Raw genomic sequence first — 11,435 nt, 5'->3', positions numbered from 1 at the left:
CTGGTGGGACAAGGACAGGTCAGCGGGTCACAGGCCGGAAGTGAGACTCGCCCGGCCGCTCTGGGACGCGGGAAGACCGAGGCCTCGGTGGTTCCCCTCTCTCCCGCCTGGCTCCCTCAGGAGAAGGAGCGGCTAAGGTAGGACCCGACACCGCGGTCGTACCCGCCTTCTTTTCTGTCCCAGAGTACAGCCTGGGATCTCCAGGGGGGAGACTGAATGAGTGCTGTCGAGGACCGGCGAGAGTCTGGAACGTTCGCGCCTTCGTAGGAGAACGAGGAGGTGACGGACAGGGAACGGGGAGCGGCCGTTGGGTGGGACGCCTGAGACCCTCGGGAAATGGCCGGGTCGCCGACTGTTTGCACCACTGGCATCCTGCAGCACTGTGAGATACGGCCCCGTTTGTTCCCAGAATGTAAATCATCCCGCACAGAAAAGGATGCGATTCACGGAGAAAGAGTTCTGTCTCCTCTCTGGGCACAGCTCTCTCTTTCCTGGAAGACAGCGGCCCTGGACAGGCTGGGGGCCCCCGACAGGTTCTAGCCCGGAGGAAGGCGCTGTGACTGGGGGCTCCAGTGGAGACAGAGGACCTTGATGGATTTTATTCTTGTGAGAAGCCCGCTTTCCTACCCAAACCTCATGCCAGTTGGTGACGCGAAGTCAACTTGGGCACTGATCCAGCCCACCCAGCCCCGCATGGTCCGCAGACTGTCCCACCCTCCCGTCCCGTAGCCCACCAGCACCCCGCCCCGCCCTGCCGCCGAGCGCCCACACAGCCTCCCCTCCGTGCCCCCAGCCCACCAGCCCCCTAAGCCTCCCACAGCACCTTGCCCCACAGCGCCTCACGAGGCCTCGACCTCGGGTCCCTCAGCCCCACCGCCCCTGACAGCGCCAGGCCCCACCCCACAATACCCCACAGCCTCCCACCCCCGCCTCAAGGCCCCAACCTATGACCCTCCACATTGCCCCACCCACAGCACCCCCACACCGGCCCGCCCCAAGGTGCCCCACAGCACCCCACCCCACAGCTCCCCAGAGTGCCCCTTCCCATAGCCCCCCACACCACCCCGCCCCACAGCGCCCGCCCCAAGGCCCCGCCCCACTGCCCTGCCCCACCCATCCCCTACACCGCCCTCCCCTACAACACACCACCCCGCATCCTCCATAGCGCCCCCACCTTCAGTTCCCACACCACCCTGCCTCACAGCGCCCCTCACTGCCCCATCTCCCAGGGCTTACAGTCCCCACCCCCTGCATCGCCCAGCGCCTGAGAGGCTGGGCTCCGGGTACCTCCCAAGAGACAAGAGGTGTGTCCCACGCCCTGTGCAGTGAGAAGCCCTGGAACTCCAGGACCCTGCTTTTTTAGGCAGAATGCTATGGATGGGCCACTCCAAAGAGAAACGCGGCTGGGGCCTTCTCACTGGGGTTGCAGGCCGTGGGATGGTGTGAACACTCCATGTTTATTCACATCTTGGACCCCCCAACCCCCCCAAGGGAGGGGTGGCCTTGTCTTTGCAAGAAGGCTTCTGAGTCCTTAGAGGTGAAGCTGTGTCCTCATTCCACTCCCCACTGATACCCAAGCCAACAAGGAGATGCCCTGACCCACTCATGGCCAAGGACACTCATGGAAAAGGCCTTCGTCCTCTCAGTACAGACTGTGCCAGGCAGGCCAGGAAAAGCCAAGAAAATATGGATGGAACAGATAGGTTCCTAGCAAAATACTAAAGCTGAGCCAAAGTAGAAAACTTGAATTAACTAATTGCCAAAAAAAAAACAGATTAGAGAGGTGATTAAAAAGCTACCATTAAGAAAGCTCTAGATGGCTCCAGATCACAGCTGAGCTCTCACCAACCTTTAGAGATCAGATAATTTGAAAGTTAATTACAATCTTCCAAGCCACAGAAAAAGATTAAAAACCTCAATTCACTTTACGAAGCCTTCTGTCTGTAAGCTTGTCTAAGTCTATGTTGCTATAAAGGGAATACCTGAGACTGGGTAATATAAAGAAAGGAGGTTTATTTGGCTCACAGTTCTGCAGGCTGTGCAGGAAGCATGGCACCAGTATCTACTGGTGAGGCCTCAGGCTGCTTTCACTTATGGTGGAAGATGAAGGGGAGCTGGTGTGCAGAGATCACACAGCAAGAGAAAAGGCAAGAAAGAGAGTGGGTAGAGGCCAGGCTTGTTTAAACAACCAGCTTTTGGGGGAATTCATAGAACTAGAACTCCCTTATTACCATGAAGAGGGCACCACGCATTCATGAGGGATCCACCCCCATAATCCAAACACCTCCTACCAAGTACCACCTCCAACATTGGGGATCAAATCTCAGCATGAGGTTTAGGAGGACAAACACCCAAACCATAGCGAAGCTTAACACGCCAAAATGATAGAGCTCAAAGAATCTATAGACCCAGATCTCTATGTTTAATATTGAAAAACAAATTATAAATAAGACAGTAGCAAATAGAATCAAGCAGCATATCAAAAAAATAATATGCCATGGCCAAGTATGGTTTATTTCAGGAATACAAGGATACCTACATACCATTGCAATTCATTAGCTCAACAAATTAAAAGAGAAAAAACAGGCCGGGTGCAGTGGCCCACACCTGTAATCCCAGCACATTGGGAGGCCGAGGCAGGCAGATCACCTGAGGTCAGGAGTTCGAGACCAGCCTGGCCAACATGGTGAAACCCTGTCTCTACTAAAAATACAAAAAAATTAGCTGGGCATGGGAGGCTGAGGCAGGAGGATTGCCTGAACTCGGGAGGTGGAGGTTTCAGTGAGCTGAGATCACGCCATTGCACTCCAGCCTGGGCAACAAGAGTGAAACTCCTTCTCAAAAAAAAAGAAAAAGAAAAAGAAAAAACAGCATTCCATCCACATATGCTAAATAATAACATTGAATACAATTCTAGAGCCATTCTGAGTAAAATTTCAAAGAAAATAGGAATAAATGAAAATGATTTAAATATGGTAAAAATTATTAACCATAAACTCCAAGAACAAGCATCATTTATAGAACGATATGCTAAAGCTATTACTTTTTTTTTTTTTTTTTTGAGAGGGATCTTGCTCTGTCACCCAAGCCACGATGTCAGCTTACTGCAACCTCCTCCAGGTCCTGGGTTTAAGCGATCCTCCTGCCTCAGCCTCCCGAGTAGCTGGAACTACAGGCGCATGCCATCATGCCTGGCTAATTTTCTTGTATTTTTAGTAGAGATGGGGTTTCACTATGTTGGTCAGGCAGGTCTCAAACTCCTGACTTCAAGTGATCCGCCTGCCTCGGCCTCCCAAAGTGCTGGGATTACAGGCATGAGCCACCGCGCCCGACCAGGATCATTAATATATTTAGAAGAAATTAAAGTTGTCCTCTGTCTCATAACATATATGAAAATATTTCTAGAGGTATTTAAAGCCTTAATTAAAAACAGAGCAATAAATAAGCCAGTCACGACAAATTCTGTATAATTCTGCTTATGTGCAGTACCTAGAGCATTCAAATCCATACAGACAGAAAGAATGTTGGTTACTAGGGACTGAGGGGAGGGGAGAATGGGGAGTTAGTGTTTAATGGGGACAGTTTTAGTTTTACACAGTTAAAGAGTTCTGGAGATGGATGATGGTGATAAGTGCACAACATTGTGAATGTATTGAATATCACTGAACTGTACACTTAAAATAGGTTAAGATGGTAAATTTTATGTTATATGAATTTTACCACAATAAAATTTTTTTAAAACTCAGAGCAATAAAAATCTTAGTGAAAATTTAGGACATCATATGTGCAAGATAGATCAGCGGAATCCTTTGTAACCGTGACGGGCAACTCAGAAGCTATAAAAAACAGATTAGGCATATTTATTTAATAAAATGAAAAAGACTTGTATGACAAAAGATCCCTTAAATGAAATTGATAGACAAATTTTAACTGGGGCACGGCCAGGTGCGGTGGCTCACCCTGTAATCCCAGCACTTTGGGAGGCCAAGGCGGGTGGATCACTTGAGGTCAGGAGTTCAAGACCAGCCTGGGCAACGTGGCGAAACCCCGTCTCTACTAAACATACAAAAATTAACCAAGTGTGGTCGTACGTACTTGTCATCCTAACGACTCAGGAGGCTAAGGCATGAGAATCGCTTGAACCCAGGAGGCGGAGGTTGCAGTCAGCTGAGATTGTGCCACTGCACTCCAGCCTGGGTGACAGAGCAAGACTGTCTTAAAAAAAAAATTTAACTGGGGCAAGAAAAGTATGAAGACATGCGGCAGAGCAAAGTGGAGGCAGCGTGTGGCCCAGTGCTTAGTACTGTAATCCCCAAGCTTGTTTTCACTAACCCTGTTTTTAGACTCTCCCTCTTTCCTTTAATCACCTAGCCTTGGTTCCACCTGAATTGACTCTCCCTTAGCTAAGAGCCAGACAGACTCCATCTCGGCTCTTTCACTGGCAGCCCCTTCCTCAAGGATTTAACTTGTGCAAGCTGACTCCCAGCACATCCAAGAATGCAATTAATTGATAAGATACTGTGGCGAGCAATATCCGCAGTTCCCAAGAATTTGTCCCATTGATAACGCCCAACGACCCGCGTCTATCACCTTGTAATCGTCTTTAAGCCCCTGCACCTAGAACTGTTTACTTTCCTGTAACCATTTATCCTTTTAACTTTTTTGCCTACTTTATTTCTGTAAAATTGTTTTAACTAGACCCCCCTCCCCTTTCTAAACCAAAGTATAAAGGAAAATCTAGCCCCTTCTTCAAGGCCGAGAGAACTTTGAGCGCTAGCCGTCTCTTGGCCGCTGGCTAAATAAACAGACTCTTAATTCGTCTCAAAGTGTGGCGTTTTCTCTAACTCGCTCAAGTACAACAGTACATGCAGTGTCTGGCTCTCCTGTCACATTTTCAGAAGTCACCTAGAAGAGACAGTCCCTGGGCCTCGGTGTCCTTGTCAATGAAACAGGGTCGTGGTGAGGATCAAATGAATTAATGGTGTATAGAAAGTGCTTAGAATGGCCAGGCGCAGTGGTTCACACCTGTAATCCCAGCACTTTGGGAGGCCGAGGCGGGCAGATCATGAGATCAGGAGTTCGCAACCAACCTGGCTAACACGGTGAAACCCCGTCTCTACTTAAAATGCAAAAAATTAGCCGGGCGTGTTGGCACGCACCTGTAGTCCCAGCTACTCGGGAGGCTGAGGCAGGAGAATGGCGTGAACTCGGGAGGCGGAGCTTGCAGTAAGCTGAGATAGCGCAACTGCACTTCAGCCTGGGCCACAGAGGGAGACTCCAGCTCAAAAATAAATAAATAAATAAAAGAATGGATGATAGATTGATAGATGGTACAATCCAAATGGCCAATAAACATGAAAAAGATGCTCAACCTCACTAATCAATGGGCAACTTAAAACTCATGTGTGAACAATCACTTCTCACTCATGACATTGGCAAAAATGTAAAAAGCAATAGCACTTGGTGCTGATCGATTGTACTCTGTTGCAATAACTCCTGCCTACGACATCCCTGCCCACCCATGAGACTTGCAGTGTCCCTCCTTATGGAAGGAGAAGGCCCCCCTGTACTGATGATGTTGCTTTGATCAGTGAAACAGCTGCCACCTTTCAGCAGCCTGAAATGTTATCATAAGATTCCAGCATGGCTTTTGCCGCACTGCCATGAAAACAGCTTGTCCAGGACAGATACTCTATGGCGCTGACACCAGCATGAAGATCGTTAAAGAGCAGGTGCATAACACAAAGGCCTGAAACTCCAATGTTAAAAGCCAGAGATCTGGGAGTTGTTACTACCGCACAACTCAGCGAAAGCTGACTCATGTAGTGGGGGAACGGCGTTAACACACACAGCTGGTGGCAAGGTACATTTTCACAGGCACTTTATAAAGAAATCTAGGAGCATTTCTGAAATTCACAAATGCACCTGTCCTTGGGCTGAGCCGTTCCACTCTGGGACATCCACAGAAACGGGAGCCAGTGCATAGGCTAGGGCCCAGGGATGCACATGCAGCAGGGAAAATGGAAACAGTGAACGTTCATTACCCAACCTCTTGGTGACCCTGCAGACCCCACTCCCCGCCACCTACACTGCTGCACCACCAAGGCTGGCCTCCTTTTGGCTCCAGCTCTTGCTGCTCCCCCAAGCCTGCCACCACCTGGCCCCTGCCCCATGCAGCCTATTCCTCACAACAACCAGAATATTTCCTTTAAAACACAAGTCCCATCACCCCACCCATCCACTCACTCAGGTCCCCAGACCCTCGCCATCCCCTTCCTTCTCTCTGAACGTGGAGTCTGCTCTTTCTCCTCTTGGTAGGCCTCCGGTCACATTCCTGCCTCAGGGCCTTTGTACTGCCTTTCTCCTTTGCCCTCGCTATTTGCTTGGCTCAGCCCTTCCCTCTCTTCTGTTGTCTACAAAGACCTCCTCTCTGCAGCCTCCCCGTCTCCCTCCCCCCTTTGCCTGACTTGTCCCCACTGCACTTGGCTCCATATGGCAGCACTGTGTGACAGGCTTAGTTATTTGTCTTTCCCACAAACTTTCTAAATGTAAACTCCTGGAGGGCAGGGACATTCCTTTTCCATTTAGTGCTGTACCCCTGATGCCTAAACCAGTGTGTGATCAGTATTTGTTTAATAACTAACACCAGAACAAAACCTGCTTTCATTGGGAAACAAATCTCTCAAAGAATTTTACGGCCAGGCGGCTGGGCGCGGTGGCTCACGCCTGTAATCCCAGCACTCTGGGAGGCCGAGGCGGGTGGATCACGAGGTCAGGAGATCCAGACGATCCTGGCTAACACGGTGAAACCCCGTCTCTACTAACAATATAAAAAATTAGCCAGGGGTGGCAGCGGGCGCCTGTAGTCCCAGCTACTAGGGAGGCTGAGGCAGGAGAATGGCATGAACCCGGGAGGCGGAGCTTGCAGTGAGCCGAGATCGCGCCACTGCACTCCAGCCTGGGCGACAGAGCAAGACTCCGTCTCAAAAACAAACAAACAAAAAAGAATTTTACTGCCGGGCGCGGTGGCTCACGCCTGTAATCCCAGCACTTTGGGAGGCCGAGGTGGGAGGATCACAAGGTCAGGAGTTCGAGACCAGCCTGGCCAACATGGCGAAACCTCACCTCTATTAAAAATACAAAAATCAGCTGGGCATGGTGGCACATGCCTGTAATCCCAGCTACTTGGGAGGCTGAGGCAGGAGAATCGCTTGAACCCGGGAGGCGGAGGTTGCAGTGAGCCGAGACAGTGCCATTGCTCTCCAGCCTGGGTGACAGAGCAAGGCTCTGTCTCAATAAAAAAAAAAAAAAAAAAAAAGGCCGGGCGCAGTGGCTCACGCCTGTAATCCCAGCACTTTGGGAGGCTGAGGCAGGCGGATCACCTGAGGTCAGGAGTTTGAGATCAGCCTGGGAAACACAGTGAAACCCCATCTCTACCAAAAATACAAAATTAGCCAGGCATGCTGGCACATGCCTGTAATCCCAGCTACTCGGGAGGCTGAAGTAGGAGAATCGCTTGAACCTGGGAGGCAGAGGATGTGGTGAGCCGAGATCACACCATTGCACTGCAGCCTGGGGGACAAGAGTAAATCTCCGTCTCACCAAAAAAAAAAAAAAAAAAAAAAAAAGAATTTTACAATACACATTTTCTTCTCTTCCTAGTGTTTTTATGATGGTTTAGCTAGTCCAAGCCATCCATGGCTTATGGGGGCCAAGTGGAGCATTAGTGGTGCGGCGGATTGCAGGCCCAACCCTGAGCCACACAGTCCCTGTATGAAGAGCAAGCCGGTCCACAGCCCCCATTGAGCACCTTTTTCAGTGGTCGCTGATGTCATGTCTAGGAGCAGCAACTGGGAATGTCTTTGAGGAGGATTTATAGTTAAGCAAGTAATCGCTTCACTGTGAGACCTGCTTTGGTCCATGTGCTTTCCTGCGGCTGCCCCAGGCCATGCTGACTGGACCAGATGATTGTGGGTGCACAGCTGAGGGGCTGATGTCTGTCTCCAGCAGAGACAGATCCCACCCCCACTCCTCCTTAGGCTAGTAACACACATCCCATTTAGTGCCAGGGTTGGTGCCAAGAGACCCCACAGAGCTGGGGCGGGGCATTGGGGAGCCCCTGCATGGAAAGCAGAATAGCCAGATGAGGGCAGGGAGGGAGGGAAGGAGACAGAGAGAGGGAGGGGGAAAGAGACAGAGAGAGAAAGAGGGAAGTGGTGGGGAGAGACAGCAGGGAAGCCAAAGGCTGTGGGGAGAGAACAGTGCCAGCCCTTTCCAGGCCCTTTGTCAGCCTCATGCCATCTGCTTGTAAGAAGCTCCCATGGCTTCCAGTGAGTCCTCTTCAGTTTTAGGAGCCTGTGTAGCTTCTACTTGTGAAGGAAATAATGTATACGGTGGTCCATTTCCAAGACAAAGTGCCTTGAATCGGTTTAGGACAGCAAACTACAGAAGAAACAGGATAAACTAGGCCCCTGCTTGCGTAGTCAATGCCGGCTTCTTGTCCCCTCCCCGCCACCCCGCCGCTTAATGGCCCTCACCCGATCCAAAGAAGTTTAGTCTGAGATGAAAGTTTACTAGCCTGCAGAATAGCTTGCTTTGTCTGTTCTTATCAGCCTTCCCAGCTACTTAGGTCATAAATCAAATTCTTAAAGAGCCCCCGAGCTGACTAGGATTGCAATGCATTGTGGGCTGCAACAAAATGTAGCAAGACAACCCTAAAAAAAACACCTACAGCCTCTGCATAACAATCAATAGGTGACATCTGGGAAGACTGTGACCCCCTAGTACTCAGCCTATGAGGAACTGGGGGAGGGACCTGCACACTAGGGGATAAATTGCTTGTTGTGACTGTGCTGGGTGTGCCTGCCTACTAGACACCCGACCTTGCAAGGCCATCATTAAAAGTCTCACTTTCGCTGTTCTCTTGGTCTCTAAGTCCATTCTTTGGGTTTGGACGGGTGAGTTTGTTTCTCACACTTGCAATCAGATGATTCCAGACCAAAGACATTGGCATTTTAGGTGCAGATGTCCAAGCAGGACATCCTGCTGGGTTCCAGCAGACACAGGGCAGACATCATGGATGATCCACCAGGCCCTCAAAGCCAGCTCTCTCCTGGATCCACTTGAGGAAAGGGCTCCAAGCAGCTGTCTGTGGGGCTTCCTGAGCCAGCTGTGCCTGCAAATCAATCCTGTTTCCCCAGACACAGTCACTAGTTGAGGAAGTGTCCTGAGCCAAGGTCTGCACACTGGATGGTCACCTGGGGAGCAAGGAGGTGAGACTCGGGGAGAAGAGCTGCCAAGAAAGAAGCCGAGTGGCAGGTGCTGTGTCTCCAGTGCCATCCCAGCAGAGTGGCTCAGTCTGCTTTGAGGAGCCCCAAAGCGCCCAGCCCAGAAACTCAATTTTTTTAAATGGACAAAAGGGCTGGGCAAGGTGGCTCATGCCTGTAATCCCAGCACTTTGGGAGGCTGAGGCAGGCATATCACTTGAGCCCAGGAGTTCAAGACCAGCTTAGGCAACATGACGAAACCCCGTCTCTACAAAACTACAAAAAAAAAAAAAAAAAAATCAGCTGGGTGTGGTGGTGTGTGCCTGTAGTTCCAGCTACTTGGGAGGCTGAGGCAGGAGGATCACCAGAGCCAAGGAGGTCCAGGCTGTAGTGAGCTGAGATTATACCATTGCACTCCAGCCTGGGCAACAGAGCAAGACCCTGTCTCAAGGGAAAAAAAAAAAAGGCAGGCAAAAGATGTGAACAGACACATTATAAAAGAAAATATAAGTAGAGCAAATAAGTACATGAAAAGTTGTTCAACATCGCTAATCATTAGGGTAATGGAAATCAAAATCACAATTAGATATCGCCTCACATCCATTAGGATGACTACTGTAAAAAAAAAACAGAAATTAACAAGTGTTGGAGAAGATATGGAGAAATTGGAGCCCTTATGCACTGTCGGTGGGAATGTAAAATGGTACAATTTTGCAGTGGCTCACGCCTGTAATCCCAACACTTTGGGAGGCCAACGTGGGTGGGAGGTCAGGAGTTCAAGACCAGCTTGGCCAACATGGTGAAAACCCGCCTCTACTAAAAATACAAAAATTATCTGGGCATGGTGGCAGGCACCTGTAATCTCAGCTTCTGGGGAGGCTGAGGCAGGAGAATCGCTTGAATCTTAGCTACTGGGGAGGCAGAGGCTGCAGTGAGCTGAGATCATGCCATTGCACTCTAGCCTGGGCAACAAGAGTGAAACTCCATCTTAAAAATAAATAAATAACAAAATGGTACAATTGCTGTGAAAAAGAGTTCGGTGGTTTCTCAAAAAATTAAAAATAGGCCTGGTGCGGTGGCTCACGCCTGTAATCCCAGCACTTTGGGAGGCTGAGGCAGGCAGATCACCTGAGGTCGGGCGTTTGAGACCAGACTGGCCAACGTGGTGACACGCCATCCCTACTAAAAATACAAAAAATTAGCTGGGCATGGTGGCACATGCCTGTAATCCCAGCTACTCGGGAGGCTGAGGCAGGAGAATTGCTTGAACCCAGGAGGCGGAAGTTGCGGTGAGCTGAGATCACGCCATTGCACTCTAGCCTGGGTGACAAGAGCAAAAAACTCTGTCACAAAAAAAAAAAAAAAAAAATTAGTCAGGTGTGGTGGCTCACAACTGTAATCCCAGCACTTTGGGAGGCCGAGGTGGGCAGATCATTTGAAGTCAGGGGCTCAAGATCAGCCTGGCCAACCAACATGGTGAAACCCCATGTTACTAAAAATACAAAAATTAGCCGGGTGTGGTGGTGGGCATCTGTACTCCCAGCTACTCGGGAGGCTGAGGCAGGAGAATCGCTTGAACCTGGGAGGCAGAAGTTGCAGTGAGCCAAGATCACGCCACTTCACTCCAGCCTGGGCGGCAGAGTGAGACTCCTTTTCAAAAAAAAAAAAAAAAAAAAAAAAAAAAGATGGTTAAGATGGTAAATTTTATGTTATGTATTTTAAATACAAACAAAAAACAAAAAGAAAACCAGAAGACTGGCCACAGCAGGTGTTAGTGAGAACGCAGAGAAGCTGTAACTCGCGAGAGCTGCTGGGAGTGGTGTGATGGCTTCTTAAAAAGTCAAACTTACTTCTAGTTAAATATTTGTAAAAAAAAAAAAGTCAAACTTGCAGGCACCCTGTGATGCGCCAGGCGAGCCCTGGGCACCTCCCTAGGAGAGGAACACGGATGTGTAAATACCCCGGGGTGGCCCAGGGATCCAACTTTGTTTTTCTCCCTGTAGCTCACAAACAGAGGCTCTATTAAACAATAGACCTTTTCTCGTTGGTTTTGATGTGTGGATGTGATTAAACTCTTTGCTCCATTCCCTTGCGTGTTTCTGGGCCTGTGAAACACCCCGGCTCAGGAGCAGACCTTAATCTCTGGCAGGGTCCGTCCCCCTTCATGTC

At 49.8% G+C, this 11,435-nt stretch overlaps 1 protein-coding gene across 1 annotated transcript in view, besides 2 other annotated features; it reads left to right on the top strand.

Annotated features, from left to right (window-relative positions):
- Nucleotides 1-14: 14 nt before the first annotated feature.
- The window catches only part of ARHGAP39 (Rho GTPase activating protein 39), a 171,184-nt gene continuing 159,763 nt past the window's right edge, over nucleotides 15-11,435 (top strand). The window contains exon 1 of the mRNA XM_011517308.2: nucleotides 15-137. The gene's annotated coding sequence lies outside the window, so the exon portion shown is untranslated. The remainder of the gene's footprint in view (nucleotides 138-11,435) is intronic.
- Nucleotides 6,400-7,222: an enhancer, noted in NCBI's record as "H3K4me1 hESC enhancer chr8:145918540-145919362 (GRCh37/hg19 assembly coordinates)". NCBI's record gives its function as "activates a minimal SCP1, AML or CMV promoter by ChIP-STARR-seq in primed H9 embryonic stem cells {active_cell/tissue: H9 hESC(primed)}" and the evidence as "EXISTENCE:reporter gene assay evidence [ECO:0000049][PMID:30033119]".
- Nucleotides 8,439-8,733: an enhancer, noted in NCBI's record as "tiled region #12231; K562 Activating DNase matched - State 5:Enh". NCBI's record gives its function as "activates a minimal TATA promoter and a strong SV40 promoter by Sharpr-MPRA in K562 cells {active_cell/tissue: K562}" and the evidence as "EXISTENCE:reporter gene assay evidence [ECO:0000049][PMID:27701403]".

Source organism: Homo sapiens, chromosome 8, assembly GCF_000001405.40.
Source record: "Homo sapiens chromosome 8, GRCh38.p14 Primary Assembly".
NCBI classification, from domain to species: Eukaryota; Metazoa; Chordata; class Mammalia; order Primates; family Hominidae; genus Homo; species Homo sapiens.
This window is presented reverse-complemented; position numbering and strand designations above follow the sequence as displayed.